The following is a 24,865-nucleotide window of genomic DNA, read 5'->3' on the forward strand; positions in this document are numbered from 1 at the left end:
TTTAAGCCTGAACTTTCTGCCCCAGATTCTGAAAAATAAAAATAACAAATGAAAATGGTGTCAGATACAGAATTGGAATTTGAACCCTTAGTTTACACAATGTGACATTATATTACACAAAAATAAACTAATACATGTATTTACTTCATACATTTATCAATGTTTGATAGAGGGATGTATCAGAAAAAAAAAAGATGAAAGAAAAGAAGTGGAAATATAGCTAGACTTAATGGAACTGAAATGGGAAATTTAAAAACCTCAAAAAGAAATGTTTACACTCAAAGTGCACTGTTTCCCTCATCAATTTCTGGCTGCATGTTCCTAGCTTGTACTTCATGTAAGGAATGGGTGTGATTCATGTCAGAGCAGCTAAGTTTTCAGGGCTTGCTAGAAAATAGAATGATTTAGAGGCATCTGCCACTAAGAGCATTGCTTTGTGTCTTATTCCAGTCCTCATCAATGAATCTAGCTGTGTTGGTGTCCTTTCTAAGAGCTTCTCTTAAGTTTTGGAATACCTAAGTTTCAGAGTAAATTCTACAGATAGTTTATTGATATAAAGGGTATATATCTTCATGATACAATGTCTAGGGAGGATAATTTATTTCTCTTATGTCTATGAATAATTTATTATTCAAGATTACTTATAAATATAAGATTGAATTCCTTATTGTGTTCAATTGGCCTGATTAAGCCTCTGCATGAGGAAAAATAAAATGTTTGAGTCAGAATCTGGGCTGGGAACACTAGAATTTTTTCTTTACTCTGTAGTACATGAACTAAGTATATAATGTTTGGAACTGCCCTAGAAAATTAATGTCGTCCTTACAATTTATGTCACTTTCCCAGCAGCGTCATAACTAACCAGATAATATTTTTAAATGTTTTGCCAGCAAAATAGTTTTTTATTTTGAGTATTATAGGAGACATATGTGTCCCTTGAGAAAGAGCTTATACAATTCTGAAGTTATCAGTAATAGAATGTACACGTGCACACACATACATAAAAATGATATGGCATATATACTCAGGGGCAGGTTAACATCAGTATTTCAAACATTTTGATAATCTCAGCTTTACATATTATTTTTCTCACTTTACAAAAGAGATATATATTAAACAATTTTACACAATATTTTAAATGGGTTGAATTGTATTTAAAATGTATTTGTTATTTTAAAATCAAAGAAATGAGAAAATTGGCAACCAGGCCTTAGCTGATACGATCACTGTCCATCTCCCCAAAGTGTTGATTTGCAATTCTACCTCTCAGTTACTCTGCACCAATAATACTCAGTGGCCTTTAATTTCCTCCAGTGTTCCAAAATCCATTCTGTCTCAGGCTTTTGCACATGCTCCACACCAGAAACACTCTTCTTTTCCTCCCTCTTCCTTTTGCTTTTCTCACTTTTAAGAAGCAAAATTCTCTCCTTTATCTTACAGGATAAAGTCGCTTTCTTGGAAAAGCATCCTCTGATCCCCAGAGCAGGTTCATTTCCAATGTTTTATGTTCCCTCTATTCCTTGCACTTCTTTGTAACACCTGTCATGAGTGAAAGTATTCATGTAACCACTTGTTTTACAGCTAAACGATGTTTCTTCCAGCTAAACTATGTTTCATTAGGACAGGGACTACACTGCACAGGACATTTATAAATGACAATACAAATATTCCCTAGCTGATTTTAATTCCCCCCAACATATGGGGTCTATGAAGATAAAGTCCTTATCTTCCTTATTCACTGCTCTATCCTAAGCCCCTTAATACAGGATCTGGCTCATGGTATTTGTTCAATGAATAGTTGTTGAATTAATTGATGAAAAAAATTAACTTTTAGTATAGTGAAGAGTTATCTCTCTACTTTTATCTGTTCTGTCAAATGTTTTAGCTTTTATATATTAGTTTTTTAATTTTTAGTTTTGTAATGTTTATATATTAGGTATATTGAAGAAAACTACATTATATGTTAGGTATATTGACACTTGCAATTCATGAAAACTTTAAATCTTGAAATATGTTTTGTAAAATTGAGAATGCATAACATAATTTATAAGCAAGAATGATTCCTTATAAATTGTGATTATAACACAACAGCTAAATAGAAAGATATGATTGTAAATATATCTCTTCAATAATGAGTAGAATTAAAATGTCAGAATTTGAGAGGTAGAACTACCCTAGGTTTCATTTAGCACAACGAAAACATGTCATAAATAAATACAAATGATAAGTGATTTGCCCAGTGTCATAAAGATACTTAGTGGCAGAAGAAAATTTTAACTCCAAATTTCTGACCTCTTTTTCTGTTCCATAATACTCCTATATTTTGAGTATGAAATTTTGAATAAATATGAGGCTAAGACACATTTGTTAATTTCTCTTAATGTGCAATCAGGAAATTGAAATAAGGGCTTTCAATAAGCAAACACAGCTCCTAGTAACATGACCAAAGAGCCTTATAATACTTTTACCATGATGTGGTATCCATACCTCCCCAGCTTATTTTCTTTGGATCTCAAAATGGATACTTTGCCTGTCTCCTATTGCTATTAATTGCCACATACATCTCTTTGTGTGATTTGCTTGGCAGCCCTGAAAACAGCTGGCTGTCTGGTTGGATCAGTCCCCCGTGGCAAACTCAGGACTCTGCGTTCCCAGTACTGGCTCACAGAATCTGGTTGAATCACGTGAGTTATTTATACTTCACTATACTTGGTTCCTGGCACCAGAATTGGTAGAGGTCCATTTTGAAATGTGTTTGGTCAACCATGAGTTGAGTCAACTCAGCACTTGACATTAAGGGTGTCTTCTGGTACATGACAGTGGGTGTTCCCAAGGAATTAGAAGCCACATGTGTCAAATTGCAAATAACTCAGGTTTATATTTTAATACAGTTCAATTTTGCCTATTTATTAGAGGGAATTATGGTAGCAATTAATAAACATGCTTAATCAGTGACATAATCATAACATTTGAAGAGGTTGGGAAAATGCTGAGGTAGTTGAAAAATTAGTAAAAGGCATTTTGGAACCAAATACCTCAAAATCTCTTGGACATGGATTATAATATAATATGTAACATGCATCATGTGTAATATATTTTAACACATTTGTCCCTGATTTTTTCCCATTAAAAATGGGAAATTATAAAGACACTTTCTTTCTTTATGATTGTATTGTTTAAGGGGACAAAGAATAAAGGCTTTAACAAAATTTGGTTGGGCACCGTGTCATAGAATTTAAAGATGCCCAATATCACTGTTATTAAAGGACATCTAAGTTATTGAGAGAATGCCATAATTAGAAGGAAAATGCAAGCACTGTTCTGAGAGAACTATTGATTCTTTGCTTTCAGACTACTCATTTGTTTAAGACAAATGTGCAAGCTACACCAAAGAACACCATATCACCTTGGAGTTGCTGCCTCCGCAGTGGTACAACTGCTGATACAGACAGGCTTGCATTTTCTCTTGAAGTCTTCTATCTTCCTTTAGTGTCATTGAACAAGGGCTGCTGAAGTGTCAGAAAAAAATATTTATTGCTCTTCCATATGTCACTGCCCTCCCGCCAGTGACATGTGTACTCATCAGTCAAACGGAAACTACCCACCATGTTTGATTTACTGCAGTTGAAGGAAATCTGTTTGTGGGTTCCTATAACATAAGCCATTCTGCTAGAGATTAATGCCCTGATTTGCATGCAGTTCATGAGAGTTATATCATTAGTTTTCATGATATACCAGAACTAAATGGAAGAAGTCCAATTCTGTTTTTTCCTCTGTGGGGTCCTGCTCTTTTTCTTTCCCCTCCCTAACCTTTTCATTAACTTTCCCCTTGTTGTTCAGTAAAACATTATTTACTTTGTACCATCTCAGGACTTGGTAGGAGATTAAGTGATTAAGTTTTAGCAACACAGAAACCATGAATAAAGTCCCTCTTCAGAACACCTGGAAAATTACTTGAATAGCAACAGACTCTCTGGCCTTGGAAATGGACTTTTAACAAACATACCATGGTGAAAAATAAAATTGAGAAAATTTTATTTTTCAGAAATAAAATTTTCTGAAAAATAAAATTGAGTTTTCTCACTGACATCTATGTACCATTTACAATCTGTGAGGGATGCGGGGTAAGAAGGTTTTCAGAGCTTTCGGAGTTGCTCAAGTTTAAGAAAGTTTTCTAACATACTATAATTCTACTGTATAGAATTCAAAATATATCTGTGTTGACATTTTTGTGCTATAAGTAAAAACATTCTATAGGTGTATAATTGAATCTACTTTGACTAGCCACACCTGATTGCTATATAGAACCTGTGATGATGGCAACCGAGATGACTAAGAGCAGCTACATTTATTCAGATGCAGGTTAAAAAGTGGATAATGATTGAGATATTTATTCCATATCCCAACATCTTCACCAGAGCTCTTGAAGCATATGAAATTCTATTTAACTCTTTAAATAGAATTTAAACAGTAAAATTTGACTATTAGTACTCTTATAAAGAATATCCTATAAAGAATTTATCTATGTAAATAAAAAAGATTTTATTATAATGTACAGAACCCAAGTCTTTTGTACTTCTCAGACATTAGGCAATAGATTATAAAGATTTCACAAAGCAGACTCCACAAAAAAACTGTTAGAATTAATAAAATATTCAGTAAAATTGCAGGATACAAATCACCATACAAAAGTCATTGCATTTCTATACACTGATAATGAACTCTCAGAAATTATAAAACAATCCCATTTACAACAGCATCAAAAAGAATAAAATAGAAATAAACTTAACCAATGAAGTGAAAGGTGTATACACTAAAAACTACAAAACATTGATTAAGGAAACTAAAGGATACACAAATAAATGACAGACATCCTGTATTCATGCATTGGAAGACTTAAGTTAAAATGTCTGTACTACCCAAAGTAACCTGCAGATTCAGTGCTATCTCCAACAGAATTAGAATAGCATGTTTTATGCAGAAAGAGAAAATCAATCCTGCAATTCATATGGAACCACAAATGACCCAGAATAGACAAAGTGATCTTGAGAAAGAACAAAGTTGGAGGCATCACAGTTCCTGATTTCAAAATGTATTACAAGCTACAATAATTAAAACAATATGGTACTGGCATGAAGATGGAGATATGGACCAAGGGACGGAAATAAATCCGTACATATATTGCCAACTGATCTTTGAGAAGAGTTCCAAGAACACACAGTGAGAAAAGGGAACTGCTCAACAAATGGTGTTGGGAAAACTGGATATTCACATACATAAGAATACAATCAGACCCCTATATTACACCACACATAAAAACCAACTCAAAATGGACTAACGACTTAAATGTAGGACCTGAAACCATAAAACCTCAAGAAGAAAACATAGGGGAATATCTTCTGGATACTGGTCTTTGCAATGATTTCTTGGATATGATGACAAAAGCTTAGACGACAAAAGAAAAAACAGAGAAGTGTTATGAATTAGTCCTTTTTCACACTGCTGATAAAGACATACGTGAGACTGGGCAATTTATAAAAGAAAGAGGTTTAATTGGACTTACTGTTCCACGTGGCTGGGGAAGCCTCACAATCATGGCAGAAGGCAAGGAGGAGCAAGTCCTGTCTTACATGTATGGCAACAGGCAAAGAGAGAATGAGGAAGGCGCAAAAGTGGAAACCTCTAATAAAACCATCATATCTCATGAGACTTATTCACTACATGAGAATAGTAGGGGGAAACTGCCCCCATGATTCAATTATCTCCCACCAGTTTCCTCCCTCAACACATGGGAATTATGGGAGTACAATTCAAAATAATATTTGGGTGGGGACAGAGGGCCAAATAATATCATGGTACTACATCAAACTAAAATATTTTACACCCCAAATGATATAATCAACAGAATGAAAAGGCAGCCTACAGAATGGGAGAAAATATGTGCAAACTATACATCTGATAAGGGGCTAATTTCAAAAATATATAAAGAACTCCTACAAATAGGAAATAAACATATAAACCCAATTAAAAATGGGCAAAGGACTTGAACAGAAATTTCTCCAAGAAGACATACAAATGACCAACAAGGTATATGAAAATGTGCTCAAAATCATTAATTGACAGGAAAATTCAAATCAAAACTACAATAAAATATCACCTCACACTTGTTAGGATGGCTACTATTAAAAAGGAAGTGTTGGTGAGGATCTGGATAAACTGGAATTGTTGTACACTGTTGTTGGGAATATAAAATAGTACAGCAGCTATGGAAAACAGCATGGATGTTCCTCAAAAAATTACAAATGGAATTACCATATGATCCAGCACTATTACTTCTGGGTATATATTGAAAATAATTGAAATAATAATCTCAAAGAGATATCTATACTCCCATGTCCACTGCAGCATTATTCACATTAGACAAGATACAGAAACAACCAAGTGTCTGGATGAATGTATGAATGAATAATGTATGGTGTGTGATTAATATATATGTATAATATTCCATTATATAAAAAATATATACTATTCCATTATATAGAGTATACAATATTTTGTTATATATGATATGTAATATTCCATTATACATAATATGCAACATTTTGTTATATATATTTCACTATATATAATATATATATTCATTATAATATAATGTTCCATTATATATTATTTCATTTTATATATTATATATTATATATATTATATATTTTATATAATATATAATATATAATAATATAATAAAAAATAAAAATAAAAATATATAAATAAAAATAAAATATATAAATAAATATATAAATAACAAAAATATATAAATAAATATAATATTTATATAATTATATACATTATGTATTTTATATAATATTATATATTTTATATAATATATCTTATATATCTTATATGATAATATATAATATATCTATCTTATATGATAATATATAATATATCTTATATATCTTATATGATAATATATAATATATCTTATATATCTTATATGATAATATATATCTTATATATCTTATATGATAATATATAATATATCTTATATATCTTATATGATAATATATATCTTATATATCTTATATGATAATATATAATATATCTTATATATCTTATATGATAATATATATCTTATATATCTTATATGATAATATATAATATATCTTATATATCTTATATGATAATATATATCTTATATATCTTATATGATAATATATAATATATCTTATATATCTTATATGATAATGTATATCTTATATATCTTATATGATAATATATAATATATCTTATATATCTTATATGATAATATATATCTTATATATCTTATATGATAATATATAATATATCTTATATATCTTATATGATAATATATAATATATCTTATATATCTTATATGATAATGTATAATATATCTTATATATCTTATATGATAATATATAATATATCTTATATATCTTATATGATAATATATAATATATCTTATATATCTTATATGATAATATATAATATATCTTATATATCTTATATGATAATATATAATATATCTTATATATCTGATATGATAATATATAATATATATTAAATATCTTATATAATATATAATATATATTATATATCTTATATGATAATATATTATATATATTATATACCTTATATAATATATAATATATATTATATATCTTATATGATAATATATTATATATATTATATATCTTATATGATAAATATAATATATATTATATATCTTATATGATAAATATATATATTATATATCTTATATGATAAATATATATTATATATCTTATATGATAATATATATTATATATTTTATAAAATGAAATATATAATGGAATATTATATATAATGAATATATGTATTATATATAATGAAATATGTATAACAAAATATGTAATATATATTATATATTTTATAATATATATTATACATATATATAATATGTATTATATAATTTCTTATATATATTTCATTATATAATGAATATATATAATATATAGTATATATAATATATAATATATATAATATATCTTATTAATATAATAAATATATATAATATATCATATATATTATATATGATATATTCTATATCATATATATAATATATATATCTTACAAAAGTAAGATTTTACGATTTCAATCAATAGTATAGATTGCGGTCAAAAGTATATTTGATACATTTCTGGCTTTATGTATATGTATAAGAAATTTTCTTTGTACTGTCTTTAGTGCAGACATAATTTATGTTCTTTTCCAATGCATCCATCCACTGATCCATTTATCTATCAAAAAAGAAAGGCATCTTCTTATAATCATTGTATTTCTCATGTTACTAATATGCAACATACATACACACACACACACACACACCACCACACACTCCTACATCATCTAAAAGCTTATGTAACATGAACCTAAGAATGACTCTTCTTGTTTGATCTGTACAGTCTGACATTAAGTGTATTTTAAATGGATATTAATGATAATATTCTTAAAAATCCAACAATGATAAAGATTTTTCTCATGAAAGATGGTGTGTTATTTTCCTGAATTGAAAAAATTGACTTCTCAGTTGGAAGTCAATGACATTTGGGCCCATTTCTTAAAGGATTCTAAGATTAAATCTTCTAAGTAGATTTATTTCTTTACAGATAAAACAAATAAGAACATGCTATCACGTCTCCCAGGATTCAGTTTTGTGGGTCTATTAGGCAATTATTAATGGATTAGGAAAAAGGAAAGCTAAGTAAACTCTTCAACTTATATTACCACTTTTTGTAAAGATACCAAGCAGATTCAAAGGCACTCCAGAAGTGTCTACATACTTTGAAGGGCTGAAAGGGGACAGGATGATACAAGTGAAGTAAAACATTTTCAAATGCAAAAGAAAAATAGGGGGCTGAGAGATAAAAAGAAATCAAAGATGAGAAGTAAGGGACAAACAGGAACAGCTAATGTTTCCGATTACATTATTAAAAGTGAGTTTATGTATGTCACATAGAAAATTTTAAATTTGTTCCTTTATTCTTGGAGAGCAATAAAACATTGCCTTACGTGTATTATGATCATAAACAGTCTAAATTTTCAACAGAGTAATAATCTCCGTTTCATGTAGGAAAATCTTATTTTACATTATTCATCAATAAAATATCTCAGATATGGGAAATATCATTTTACATAAAATGAACAAAAGGTATTTAAAACATATACATTCTATTATTTAAGCACAGTGAGGAACCCTGGTGAGGAAAGGTGGAAAAGGGTGGAGGGGCAAGATATGTCATCTGAAAATGCAGTCTCTAGACCAATTCTTTGGTAATGATGCTAGAAGTAAGGGACAGTAGGAAAGTCTTGACCTTAGAGTGTAGAAAAAAGTTTGCGCCTGTGTGGGAGAGTTGCTCGGGGTCTTTTGGGAGATAAGAGTCATGGCATTTTTGTGTGATGCTTAGTGGTACCAGAGATTCTCTTTCAGTACATCCCAGAGAAAGTTGTTCTCAACTCTAAGAGAGATCCAGGTTCTTCTCTTGGGAGCTTCATAAAACAGCTGTCAAGTTCACAGAGAGAAAAAGGTCGCAAAAGTTGGTTCCTGAACAACAGGTGCTTGCTGCGGCCACAGCAGAATCGTTAGCAGCCAATTTAAGCAGTTTTAGTGGGCCCATTGGAATAGATCTAACAGACTCTGAGATGAAAACAAAGCCCCCTTTGGAAGACAGATTTAAAATATGCACACACGCATTCACATGTGTGTGTATGGGGGATATCTATATATGTATCTATATACACACACACACGTATATATAGAAGATACAGAAGGGGTTTGTGTGTGTATATATCTTCTTCCTTTTCTTCTCTTTAAAACAAACAGAGGAATTCCATTTTCAGCTAAGAAGGAATAAGGGGCAGGATTTAACCTCCTGCCTGAAACAATAACAGTAAAAAGGAAAAATAAAATAAATGAACTCCTGAACATCAGGCAATGAAGGGCACAGATCTCTGGGAGATAAGAAACAAATAAGGAGAACCATATGATAAATCCAGCTTACTGCCTGCAGAAAGTTTCCTGGCCATGGTGCACGTATGGGAGTGTAGGAGTGGAAATCAGGCAAAGTCCAGTAAACTCACCAATTTAAGGAGAAAGCTGAGAGTACTGGGAGACCAAGGTGACTAGAGATTCCAGGACAGAACACTAGAGAGGAGAGAGCTTCATAGAGAGAGCTCCAAAGATCTGCAAAGAATTCCACCCAAGTATTCAGTTGAGTACTGATCAGCACGTGTATGTGACAAAACTACTTGAGTCAGGGAAAAGAAAAACTTAAAATAATTAGTGGTAGAAGTGTCCCACGTACACACAGGGCTAAGAAATGTACCTGTTTCCACCAGTCAGAGAAGGAAAGCATATATTATTAGGTAGGGTATACAGAAAAGTCTTGCCTTAGTAGTGAGGAATAATCAACCCTAGACTGAGCACTCCTCTAGTCCTTCCAAACAAATCTTAAAAGGAAGATCCGAAATAATAAAACTATTTCCAGTAACTTAATGGCATCCCAGAATAAAGCTTCATAATATTTTAGGAATACAAAAATATCCAGTATCCAACAAAGTAAAATTCACGATGTCTTGAAATACAATCACAATTTACCAGACATGCAAAGATGCGGGAAAATAAGGCTCATAATGAGGACATAAATGAATCAACTAATTAAACTGACAGATGTTTACCTCATTAGTGTCCATACATGTATGATTGGTAGATTTCCTTCTAGATGCTATTCTGTGCCTTTATCAATATATAAATACGCCCACAATAACTGAGTATAGTGGGTCTTTATTATCTCAGTGCTCATCATCAGAGTCCCATATTTGGGGAAATTTTTAGAAAAATAAAAGTTGTTGCAATGTTAAAACATTTGTTAATAAATAAAGAGATATACAATCAGTCTTCCCTGCACCCCACCAAATCCTTCTCTGTTTGACATTAGTGCCTCTCCTGTTGGTCTTTCCTTGGTTGCCACAAGTTGCAAAGATAAACTGAAATAACAATGCAAAACAATTGCAAAAGCTCTTCAGAAATGGATTACTTGAATAACAAAGTATTCGTAGGGTACACTGAAACTAAGGATAAAGCCCTCTAGTATTTTTTACAACATGATCTTCTTTAAAAGATAGCCACCTAAAGTCAAAAGTTAAATGGCAACTGTCATATGACATTGTACAGTTTTGTTGAAATTATTTAGGCAAAAAAATCTGGACTTGATTTATTCTTATTTTGTTCTAATAAATAGGGCAGCATTGCAACTAAACTTATTTATAAAATAAAATAAGCATATTTTAATAATATTAAGCCCAAATTAAAGACTTTTTTCTGGTCTCCTACTATTTATCATTTACTTTCCACCTTGTCTTAAGTGGTAATCAAGAAAGGTTTGATTTATTTTTAATTTAATTTAATTTAATTAATTTATTTTTTTGCTAGGAAGTCTCTCTCTGTCACCCAGGCTGGAGTGCAGTGGTGCAGTCGGCTCACTGCAACCTCTGTCCCCTGGATTCAAGCGATTCTCCTGCCTCAGCCTCCTGAATAGCTGGGATTACAGGCATGCACCTCCATGCCTAGCTTATTTTTGTATTTTTAGTAGAGATGGGGTTTCATCATCGTTAGCCAGGCTGGTCTCAAACTCCTGACCTCAGGTGATCCACCCACCTCAGCCTCCCAAAGTGCTGGGATTACAGATGTGAGCCACCACACCCAGCCTTATATTTAAGATTAGCTGGGGGAGAATTGCTAGCATGTTGTAAACTCACCCTCCTGAGAAGAAGACATGAGGAATTTTATCTTTCAGTTCACCATAGGTGAGATAACACTTGACAGGAACATTCAAAGGGCTTGATTTGTGTCTGCTGCTGTATGGGGACAGAGTGGCCTATCATCTGACATACAGTTCAGGAGTATACATCTGAGAGGTGTTGGATGGGGCTGCTCGCTCTGATGATGCAATGAGGAGAGGCAGCTACATGGAATTTGGGTGGGACTTCCAAAAGATGCAGTTGGACCAGATGTGGGTCAAGTGAGGAAACAGATCTGGCCTGGGCCTTTTAAAAATCTTGCCCAAAGGGGACAAGTTAGAAAGGCCAAGGAGCAACAATAGTCTGTGTAGAATGGTCTGCCTCAAGGGGAGTCTCTTGTGTCATGAGAAGTGCAAATGATTTTTCTTAGTAGGGGCTTTGGAAGAATCCATAAAAATACCTACATTAGACAGAATTAACATAATAAATTTTTTTTGGCCCGGAAAATAATGGTGACATCCTTTGGAAGCAAAGACAACTAAGTCTCTTTCTGTTTTTCTACCTTCCCTTACTCTTCCTCACTTCACACTGGCAGAGCCCAGCTAGGGAAGGGGAAAAGATTTAACACTAAATATAGTCCAGAGTTTTGATGATTTCAAGGGCTTAATATTTCAGTTATAGAATTGAGACATTTGTATGTGTGTTATATGCATGTGCATGAGACTTAAAGAAACTTTCAGATTGATTTCCTCCCTCTCAACTTTTATCTCTTTTATCTTATCTTCCCCTGCTGATTTGATTGGAAGAGAGAAGAAAAAAGCAGTAGAGGTGGGTAAACAAGATATTTAGAGATATGCATACTTAAACTTTGTGAAATCCCTCTAATATTGTAATTCCATAATTTTGTGTATTGCTCAGTGTAAAACTTCTAAGCAGGGAAAGTTTACCTGGAGTGGCTCTGACACTGGAATCGGCACCTTTTCCCCACTTGGAGTATTTTATAGTGCTTGATTTGTTCCCACTTCCCTTTGCAGGGCTCCTATGCTAATCTGACATAAGGACAATCTCTTCTCATTTAGGGGTTGGTTTCCTGCCCTCAGGTACCATCAGTATGTGTTCACCTCCCACCAGTTTTAAGGCAGGCTTATATAGCATTGACTCTTGGGGGTTGAGTAGGAAATGTAAGCATTTTTGTAGTAGGATAGCAAATATTCTTTCTGAACTGCAAATACTGATGATCTGTTCTTTTCCTTAATTTCTTCCCTTACTCCAACTCCTATCATTCGTGCACCCACTTTCCCTGAATCTTTGACACATTTTGCCTGCTCCTTCAGTCACTGCACATACCCGAGATGATGATCTTTTTCATGGAGTGTGGATGCCTAAGTTGTTCCGTCTTCCTTTTGAATCCACTTACAAGGGCCATCAGTCTTAAGATGCTCACTTGGTGTCAATAGGCCACCTTAGTTTTTTGACAATCCAGTCTCTAGGGGTACTGAATGTTACTCCAAGTAATTATTCCAGTTCTTGGTGAATGAAGTTATTTCTTACTGTTCTTGAGAGTTTTGTATGGGAACAGTGAGTAGATTAAAAGTCTTTTGAATATACAGACATATCCGTGAAACTGGGAGACAGCATGGTAGTTAAGTAGGTGGACTTCACTGTCGCTCTGCCTTGGGTCAGATCCTGGCTCCCGCATTTGATTGCGCATGGTCTTAAGAAAATTACTTAACCTCACTATGCCTTATTTTTTAATTTATTAAACGAGAATGATGACCACAATAATATTATTTATCTTAGCTTTCCTTTTGTTGAGGAGGGGGTGAAGCCTAAGTGAGATTATACATACAAAGCACTTAAGTTAGGACATGATGTATACTAAGCACTCAATAAATGTTAGTTACAAAGGAAAAGTGTACTTTAAAAAACTATTGTTCAAATAAGTTTCAGTGAGAATTGTTTTTAAAACACTGAGATGTCGATTTTATTTACAAGTAAGATCTGTATGTATGAGTAACTTCAGGAGAAAGAGACAAGGAATCTTTGGCATTGAGACGCTTTTAAGGCTACTGTTGAGGAAGTAGCTATTTACCTAATACAATAATTTATCTGAAAACAGAAGGATGCTTCAAAATATCTTTAGTCTAAAATCAAAAGTAAACTATTACCTTCTGTTTCCTGTGATATTTCAAAATCTTCAGCAAATTTAAAAGTAGAGAAAAAGAAGAGTAGAGTGCAGTAAGAGAACTAAGTGAGGTTCAAAGAAAACCTGTTGTTTAATGCAGATTTAAATAGTGGGGAAAATGAAACTTATTTAAAGTGGTGGGGATATTTTAAGTATGTAAATGTCTGTGAGAAGAGAAAGTGGGGTTTAAAAAATTGTTTGCTTAAGATTATCATTGTTAAATATATTTCTTTTTTTTATTTGTATAAATTTAGGGGATACAAGTGTCACATGGATATATTGTGTGGTGGTAAAGTCTGGACTTTAACCATTACTCAAACAGTATACATTGCACATTATTTTATTTCTTATCCCTCACCCCCCTCCCAGTCTCCCTTCCCTGAGTCTACAATGTCTTTTATTCCACACTTTATGTACATGTGTACACATTATTTAGCTCCCACTTATAAGTAAGAACATTTGGTATTTAACTTTGTTTGAGTTATTTAACTTATGAGAATGGCCTCCCGTTCCATCCATTTTGCAAAGATATGATTCTATATCTTTGCTATTGTGAATAGTACTATAAAAATATGAGTGCACTTATCTTTTTGATATATATTTGGGTATATATTCAGTAGTAGGATTGCTGGATCACAGGGTAGATCTATTTTTAGTTTTTCTGAGAAATCTCTGTACTGTTTTCTAAAGAGATTGTACTAATTTACATTCCCACCAATGCTATACAAGAGTTGCCTTTTTGCCACAAGCTTGCTAACATCTGTTATTTTTTGACTTTTCAATAATAGCCATTCTGACTGGCATAAGATGATATCTCATTGTGGTTTTAATTTACATTTCTCTGATGATTAGTGATGATGGGCATTTTTTCATATGCCTTTTGGCCATTTGTATGTCTTCTTTAAAGAAATAACTATTCAGATCATTTGTCCATTTTTAGATTGGATTATTTGGATTTTTGCTGTGGAGTTGAGTTCCTTGTAGATTCTGGATATTAGTCCCTTGTCAGATGCATAGTTTTTGAACATTTTATCCCATTCTGCAGGTTGTCTGTTCATTCTATTGATTATTTCTTTTGCTGTGCAGAAACTTTAGTTTCAGTCCCATTTGTCTATTTTTGTTTTTGTTGCATTCAATTTTGAGGTCTTAGTTATGAATTCTTGGCCTACGGCAATGTCCAGAAGAGTTTTTTCTAGGTTTACTTCTAGTATATATAGCTTCAGGTCTTACATTTAAGTATTTTGTTCATCTTGAGTTAATTTTTGCATATGGTGAAAGATAGGGGTCCAGTTTCATTCTTCTGTATATGGGAATCCAATTTTCCCAGCACAATTTATTGAAAAGGGTGTCCTATTCCCAGTGTATGTTTCTGTTGACTTTGTCAAAGATCAAACTGGCTGTAGGTATTTGTCTTTATTTCTGATTTCTTCATTCTGTTCCATTGATTTTTGTGTCTGTTTTTATACTAGTACCATGCTGTTTTGGCTATTACAGACTTTCAGTATAATTTGAAATCAAGTCGTGTGATGACTCTGGCTTTGCTCTTTTTGCTTAGAATTGCTTTGGCTATTTGGGCTCCTTTATGGTTCCCTATGAATTTTAGGATTGTTACTTCTAATTCTGTGAAAATGACATTGGTATTTTGATAGGAATGGAAGTGAATTGCAGATTGCTTCGGGAAGTCTGGTCATTTTAGTGATATTGATCCTTTTAATCCATGAACATGGGATGTTTTCCTATTTGATTGTGTCATCTATAGTTTGTTTCATCAATGTCTTGTAGTTTTATTTGTACAGATATTTCACCACCTTAGATAAATATTCCTAGGTTTCTTTATTTCTTTTTTTTTGTAGGTATGGTAAATGGGATTGACTTCTTGATTTGGTTGTCAGCTTGATCATTATTGTTGTATAGAAATGCTACTGTTTTTTGTATGTTGATGTTGGATCTTGAAACTTTACTGGATTCATTGATCAAATCTTAGAGTCTTTTGGAGGATTTTTTAGGGTTTTCTAGGTATAAAATCATATTGTCAGCAAACAGAGATAATTTGACTCTCTCTTTTCCAATTTGGATACCTTTTCTTTCTCATGCCTGATGGCTCTGGCTAAGACTTCCAGTACTATGTTGAATAAGAGTGGTGGATGGGCATCCTTTCTGTTTTTCCAGTACTTAGGGGGAGTGGCTTCAACTTTTCTTCATTCAGTGTGATGTTGGCTGTGGGTTTGTTATACATAGCTTTTATTATTTTAAGGTATGTTTCTTCTATGCCTAGTTTGTTGAGGGTTTTTATCATGAAGAGATACTAAATTTTATTGAATTCTTTTTTTGCTTGCATCTGTTGAGACAATAATAGGGTTTTTGTTTTTAATTATATTTATGTGGTGAATTACATTTATTGATTTGCATATGTTGAACCATGCTTGCATCCCTGGAATAAAACACACTTGGTTGTGGTATATTATCTTCATGATATGATGTTGGATTCAGTTTGGTAGTATTTTGTTGAGGATTTTTGCACCTGTGTACATCAGGGATATTGATCTGTAGCTCTGTTTTTTGTTGTGTCCTTGTCTGGCTTTATGTTTCTTTATATGAGAGATAGTGACAAATATTTGTGTTTAATTTTTTTTAAGTTTGAAAATAGTATGTAAACTGAGAGAATTAAAGGTGTGAAGCTTATTTTTTCTGGTGGAAAAATACATGTATCTCCTGTAATTTGAAACAGAAGTGCTTTCATTCAGATGCTTTTATGTTAAACACTTGTAAAGCTGTAAAATTTTGCTATTACCATAAGGGATCACATAGCTGGGTGCCATTCAAATTATAAAATCAATGAAAGTACCTTAAAATGTCAGTAAACAAATTTCTCGAGCTGCTGGCTATCTACTGGTGAAGATAGTGGTAGTTTCCCAATCTCATGCTGTCTGCTTCTCAGTTTAATTACCATGATGTGGTCGGAAGTATTTTCTGTACATTGGTCATGAGATATTTTTGAAATGAGAATTAACAGCCTCACTGAACACCTGGTGTGATTTCACTCTTGACTCTCATTTGTAATGGTTGTTCTGCCTTTATTAATTCCACATAGCACAGAACAAGTCTGGAGAAGTACATATAAGATTGCAAAATGTGGTTATCTGGCATGGGATAAGAATTAGGTTAAAGTTGGGGAATGTTCCTTTAACTTCTCACTTTGTATGTTTTTTCAAAATGGTGAACTTCCTAGTGAATTTTAACACTTTCATTTTTCAACTTTAACATGTATTTGCAAATTAATAAGTATATATAACCTAGCAATTACATCCCAGTTACATAATCATGTTTACTAAAAGGCATACATTAGAATGTTCCTAGCATCACCTCTTGTAATAGCTTCAAACGGAAATATTGAAGTTCTACAAAAGAAGAATAGATAAATAAATGGGGGGTGTATTCACATTGTGGAATACTGTACAGCAATGAAAACGAATGACCTATAGCTACATATAACAATGTGGATGAATCCTACAAATGTAATATTGGAAGAAGCCAGTCACAGAAGAGCTTGTACTATGTGATTCCATTACATGAAGTTCAATATGAGGCAAAGACTTACCTATCCAGTTAGAGGCAGGATAGTAGTTATTTGTAGAGATGGAATCACTGGAAGGGTAAATAAGGAGGCTTCTGGGATGCATGTAATGCTCTGCTTCTTAATACAGAGAACAGTCAACACCCTTAATACAGGATGTTGATGCCACAATTAGCACCCTTAATACAAGGTGTTGATTGTACAATTATATACTTGGTAAATATTTATCAAAGTGTCAGCTTATGAAATATGTCCTTTTATGTATTATATTACACTTCAGTTACAAGTTTTAAAGTCTATTGATTACCAAGTGAAGAGGTTTTGATGTTTTAAAACATTATGAAGAACCTATTTGGAGGGAAAAAACCTCAAATTTTAGCTAGAGATCAACAACAGACTTTGAATTTGGCAATGCCTTACACATTACAATTGCTAAATAAATGTATGTTGATGGACCAATGTGCTTTATTCTACTGATTATGTTAAAGCATGATGTTAAGAATTTAAGATAAATATTTGCAGTAAAGCTAGGCAAGACAAATAGCACTCAAAATTCCTTAAAAGTTTTTCCTTGGAGTATCGAGGAGTGTTCTTAAGAACATGGAAAGCTAATAATGTCTGACCAAGTGCACATATTCACTTTCTAAGGATATTACTAACTCCCTGCTTTATCTCTATTGATAATTTTTATCTGGCTTCAGCCCTCCTTTTAAGTGGTTTTTATTGAGTTTATTTCTGTGATGATGATTGATTGCCCTAACAGATTGGTAACCTGATGGGTTTTGGTCACAAAGATACCTTTCATAGTTATTGAATAATATATATTATTTAGGAAATATTTATCAAATGGATGGTCATTTTTATATTAAGATGGAGACAGATCTATTTTAAGTGCTGCAGAATATGTTTTAAACAAATATATCATTTTCTGAATGAAGCCTTGGGGTAAAAATATGTCATATATATTAAAAATTTAAAAATTAAGTTATGTAAAATTAAGTATTGAACCACTACAATGCAATTTAACTGTCACCTTTCAACGTAAGGATTGAAGATCAGTTGAAATCTAGCAGGCTTTTCATAGCCTCGTCCTTGGATTAGGTTACATTAAGGTCTCATAATTGTGAGATGGTTTTGTTTTGGTTCATTTAGCGTCTAAAACCATTAATATATTGTACATCAAGAACATAACAAATATGTGAACATTCTATGCCTCAGTAACTGTACACAGATATAAAGGTTGATTAGATTTCTTATAGGAAATACGTATTTTATATAAATATATTACATATTATATGATACATATATTTCTTACATGATATACACATATGTGTTTCTTATATCGGTGAAGTAAATGTTTTTACTGAATGCAATATTTTCAATTATTATTTCAGCATTGAATGGTTTTTTACATATTAATCTTTAAATTTTTTGTTGATCTACAATAGTCTTACATATTTGAGGGATACATGTGATATTTTGATACCTGTATACAATGTGTAATGATCAAGTCAGGGTTATTGGGATATCAGTCAACTCAAACATTTATCATTTCTTTGTTTTGAGAAAATGACAACTCTTCTTTTCTAGCTTTTTTTTTTTGACACAGGGTCTTGCTCTGTCACCTAGATTGGATGGAGTGCAGTGTTGCAATCACAGCTCACTGCAGCCTTGAACTCTTGGGTCACGAGATCCTCCCACCTTGGCCTCCCAAAGCAATGGGGTTACAGACATGAGCCACTGTGCCTACCCTATTTTTAAATATGTAATAAATAATTTTTAACTATAATTTCCGTATCATACTACCAATACTAGAATGTATTCCTTCTATCTAACTGTGTTTTTGCATCCTTCACCAACTTTTCTTCATCCCTCCCTTCCTTTCCCAGCCTTTGATAAGCATCGTTCTACTCTCTACCTCCTTGTGATCTACCTTTTTAGCTCCCACGTATGAGTGAGAACATGAAACATTTGTCTTTCTGTACTTGGCTTATTTCACTTAACATAATAACCTCCAGTTCCATCCATGTTGCTGCAAATAACGGTATTTCAGTTTTTAAAAAAGAACATTTTCTACCATCTTTTCTTTACATTTAAATCTAATTTATGTATTTTGTTCAGATCTACTTTACTTGTGTTACCTTTTAAAATATTTTCTATTTCCTTTACTTGAGGGGGAGCAATTCATTTTCATGGAACTCCAACTCCATTTTCCTCACAATGATCTCTGCAATAAGGGTTTACACGTCCTCTTTCAATGCAGCCTAAGTGAAAAGTCTTGAGACTGTTCTGTTTTATTAGACTGTCTTCTATACTGATCCCCAGGTGGCTCTATAAGTCTTTGTCAAGGGAAGCTTTGGAGAGATGAGTTAGGTTTAAAAATCTAGTTGCATTTTAAAGAGATGAAGCACCAGCATCTGAAAAATACGCCAGGGAAAGCAGAATAAATGAGGGATGTGAAGAAATAAAAGTTACAGAGGTTGAGGCTTGGCTATTGTGGTTTTCAAATGCAAACCTACAGAGATGTTGGATGTCAGAGGATTTTGGAGCTGTTGCAGAAAGGAATGAAGAAAAATAAAATTGAAATAACTCATGACTTATTATTGTTTCCTGAAGCATGTTCTAAGTTTAGAAAAATATAAGAATAAAAGTGGCTTTGAGTTATGTAAAAATTAATTTTTAAAATGCAAAAGCCCTACTATTCTTAGGAATACAAATTAAATTAATTGGATTAGATTGATGAATTCAAGTGTTTCTCAATAAGCCAAGGATCAAAAACAATTTTAAGATGTTAGATAGTGTTACATAGTCTTCTTCACTGTCATCTAATACAGTAACCTAATCTCAGGCATTTTCTAAGAATTAGGGCATATTTAAATTAAGTATAGTCTAGCTCCTCAAATTAAATTTTATAATGATGTAAAAAATTAGTTTAAATGCCTAGGTATTTTGAAATATCACTTTTTTCAAATTTTCTTTTAATGTTCTAAAATGTGTATTGTTTATATTATTCGAAGGATCCCATGAATATTCCTTTTTGTTGTTGTGTTGTTTTGTTTTGGGAGACACGGTCTTGCTCCATTGCCCAGGCTGGAGTACAGTGGTGTGATCACAGCTCACTGCAACCTCAATCTCCTGGGCTCAAGTGATCCTCCGACCTCAGCCTCTTGAGTAGCAAGGGCTATAGGTGTACACCACCACAACTAGCTAACTTTTGAAACTTATTTTTTGTAGTGATAGTGTCTCACCATTTTGCCCAGGCTGGTCTTGAACTCCTGGACTCAAGTGATCCTCCTGCCTCAGCCTCCCAACTAATATTCTTAAATTTGATATATTATTTCCTTTTTTATTAATACATAATAGTTGTATATATTCATGGGGTACATGTGATAGAATACTAAGCAGGGAGGTGAAATATCTCTACAATGAGAACTACAAAACACTGCTCAAAGAAATTAGAGATGACAAAAACAAATGGAAAAACATTTCATGCTCATGGATAGGAAGAATAAATATAATTAACATGCCCATACTTCCCAAAGCAACTTATAGATTCAATGATATTCCTGTCAAACGACCAATGACATTCTTCACAGAACTAGAAAAAACTATTTTAAAATTCATATGGAACCAAAAAAGAATCCAAATACTCAAGGCAATCCTAAGCAAAAAGAACAAAGCTGGAGGCATCATGTCACCTGACTTCAAATTATATATACTACAGGGCTATAGTAACCTAAACAGCATTTTACTGGTACAAAAACAGACACATAGATCAGTGGAACATAGTAGAGAGCCCAGAAATAAGGCTGCACACCTACAACCACCTGATCTTTGACAAAGCTGACAAAAGCCAGCAACGGGGAAAGGACTACCTATTTAATAAATGGTGCTGGGATAACCGGCTAGCCATATGCAGAAGATTGAAACTGGGTCCCTTCCTTATACTGTATACGAAAATCAACTCAAGATGCATTAAGGACTTAAATATTAAACCTAAAACTACAGAAACTCTGGAAGATAACCTAGGAAATACCATTCTGGACATAGAACGAGGCAAAGATTTCATTATAAAGATACCAAAAGCAATCACAACAAAAGCAAAAATTGACAAATGGGACCTAATTAAACTAAAGAGCTTCTGCACAGCAAAAGAAACTATCAACAAACAGACAACCTACAGAATGGGAGAAATTATTTGCAAACTATGCATCTGACAAAGGTCTAATATCCAGCATTTGTAAGAAACTTAAATAAATTTACAAGAAAAAATCAACCCAACTAAAAAGTGGGCAAACAATTTTTTAAAGTCCTCAATTTAATATGGAACAAAAAAAGGCGAAATAGCCAAAACAATACTAAGCAAAAAGAATAAATCTGGAAGCATCACATTACAGAACTTCAAATTATACTACAAGTCTATAGTTATCAAAACAGTATGGTATTGGTATAAAAGTAGGTACGTAGACCAATGGAACAGAATTGAAAACCCAGAATTAAAGCCGAATATGTACAGCCCACTCATCTTTGACAAAGCATACAAAACATAAGTTGGGAAATGGACACCCTATTTAATAAATGGTTCTGGGAAAACTGGCAAACCACATGTAGGAGAATGAAACTGGAACTGGATCCTTCTCTCTCACCTTAAACAAAAATGAACTCAAGATGGATCACAAATTTAAACATAAGACCTGAAACCATAATTCTAGAATACAACATTGGAAAAACTCTTCTAGACATTGGCCTAGGCAAAGAATTCATGAGTAAGACCCCAGAAGCAAATGTAACAAAAACAAAAATAAATGAGACCTAATTAAACTAAAAAGCTTCTGAACAGCAAAAGAAATAATCAACAGAGAAAACAGACAACCCACAGGATGGGAGAAAATATTTACAAACTGCACATCCAACAAAGGGCTAGTATCCAGAATCTATAAAGAACCCAAACAAATCAGCAACAAGTAGAACAAATAATCCCATTAAAAAGTGGGCAAAGGACATGAATAGACATTTCTCAAAAGAAGATATACAAATGGCTAACAAGCATATGGAAAAATGCTCAACATCACTAATCATCAGGGAAATGCAAATTAAAACCACAATGAGATACCACCTTACTCCTGCAAGAATGACCATTATTAAAGTGCCAAGCAACAATAGATGTTGGCATGGATGTAGGGAAAAGAGAACGCATATAGACTACTGGTGCGAATGTAAATTAGTACAACCTGTATGGAGAACAGTATGGAGATTCCTTAAACAGCTAAAAGTAGATCTACCATTTGATCCAGCCATCCCACTACTGGGTATCTACCCAAAGGAAAATAAGTCATTATATAAAAAAGACACTTGCACACGTATGTTTATAGCAGCACAATTCACAATTGCAAAGATGTAAAAACAACCTAAGTGCCCATCAACAAATGAGTGGATAAATAAAATGTGGTATATATACACCATGGAATACTACTCAGCCATTAAAATGAATGAAATAATGTCTTTTGTGCAACTTGTAATGAAGGCCATTATTCTATGCGAAGTAACACACGAGTGGAAAACCAAAAACTGTATGTTCTCACTTATAAATGGGAGCTAAGCTATGAGTAAGCAAAGGCATACAGAGTGATATAATGGAATTTGTAGACTCAGAAATGGGAGGTCAGGAGGGGTAGGGGTATAAGGATAAAAAAAAAAGTACACATTATGTACCATGTACGCTACTCAGTTGACAGATGCACTAAAATCTCAGAATTCACCACCATCCAAGTAACAAAAAAGTTGTACCCCAAAGCTATTGAAATAAAAAATAAAAACAAGAAAATTCAAGACCCACAATATTTCTCTGGGAAATTCATGCAAACATACATGGAAGAAATAATAAATTTTATCCAATGTAAAAAATAATTGGGCAAAGGACAGGAACAGACACTTTTCAAAAGAAGACACACATACAGCCAATAAGCATATGAAAAAATGCTCAACATCACTGATCATTAGAGAAATGGAAATCAAAACCACAATAAGAAACCATCTCACACCAGTCAGAATGGCTATTACTAAAAAATCAAAAAATGACAGATGCTGGTGAGGTTGTGGAGAAAAAGAAACACTTATGCACTGTTGGTGGAAGTGTAAATTATATCTACCATTGTGTAAAACAATGTGGGGATTCCTCAAAGAGCTAAAAACAGAACTACCATTTGACCCAGCAATACCGTTACTGGGTATATACCCAAAGGGATATGAATCATTTTGTCATAAAGATGCATGCATGCGAATGTTCATTGCTGCACACTCACGATAGCAAAGATGTGGAATCAACCTAAATGCCCATCAATGATAGACTGGATAAATAAAATGTGGTACATATACAGTATGGACTACTTTGCAGCCATAAAAAGGAATGAGATCATGTCCTTTGCAGGAACATAGATGGAGCTGAAGGCCATTACCCTTAGCAAACTAGCACAGGAACAGAAAACCAAATACTGCATGTTCTCACTTATAAGTGTGAGCTAAATGATGAGAACACATGGATACATAGAGGAGAACAACAGATACTGGGGCCTACTGGAGGGTGGATGGTGGGAGGAGGGAGAGGATGAGGAAAAATAACCAATAGATACTCAGCTTAATACCTGGATGACAAAATAATCTGTACAACAAACCTCCATGGCATGGCTTTACCTGTATAACAAACTTGCGAATGTATCCCTGAACTTAAACAAAGGAACACGCATAGAATGTGTAATAATAAAAACAAAGTAATCGAGATACCCATCACTTCAAATATTTATATTTTCTTTGTGTTGGAAATATTCCAAATCTTCTCTTCTAGCCATTTTGAAATATACAACAAATTATTATTAACTATAGCACCTTAATTGACCATTAGAATTTATTCATTCTATTTAACTGTATGTTTGTACCCATTGACAAAACTCTTTTCATTCCTCCCTCTCTTCTATCCTTCCCAGCCTCTGGTAGTCATCATTTTACTCTCTACCTCTAGATCCAGTTTTAAACTCCCACATATAACTGGAAACACGCAATATTTGCCTTTCTGTGCCTGATTTATTTCAATTAACATAATGCCCTCCAAGTTCATCCGTGTTGCTGCAAATCAAAGAATTTTATTCTTTTTCTTGGCTGAATCATATTCCATCATGTGTATATACCACATTTGCTTTATCCATTCACCCATCGATGGACACTTAGGTTGATTTTATATCTTGGCTGTTGTGAATAGTGCTGCAATAAACATAGGAGTGCAGATATATCTTTGAAATACTGATTTCCTTTCTTTTGAA

The 24,865-nt window shown here is 32.9% G+C and overlaps 1 long non-coding RNA gene across 1 annotated transcript in view; it reads left to right on the forward strand.

The window, feature by feature from the left end:
- The first annotated feature begins 2,214 nt into the window (after positions 1 to 2,214).
- The window catches only part of LOC107985707 (uncharacterized), a 63,493-nt gene continuing 40,842 nt past the window's right edge, over positions 2,215 to 24,865 (forward strand). Inside the window, exon 1 of the long non-coding RNA XR_001755821.2 lies at positions 2,215 to 2,684. This is a non-coding gene — a long non-coding RNA (uncharacterized LOC107985707). The remainder of the gene's footprint in view (positions 2,685 to 24,865) is intronic.

This window comes from Homo sapiens, chromosome X (assembly GCF_000001405.40).
Source record: "Homo sapiens chromosome X, GRCh38.p14 Primary Assembly".
Classification (NCBI taxonomy): Eukaryota; Metazoa; Chordata; class Mammalia; order Primates; family Hominidae; genus Homo; species Homo sapiens.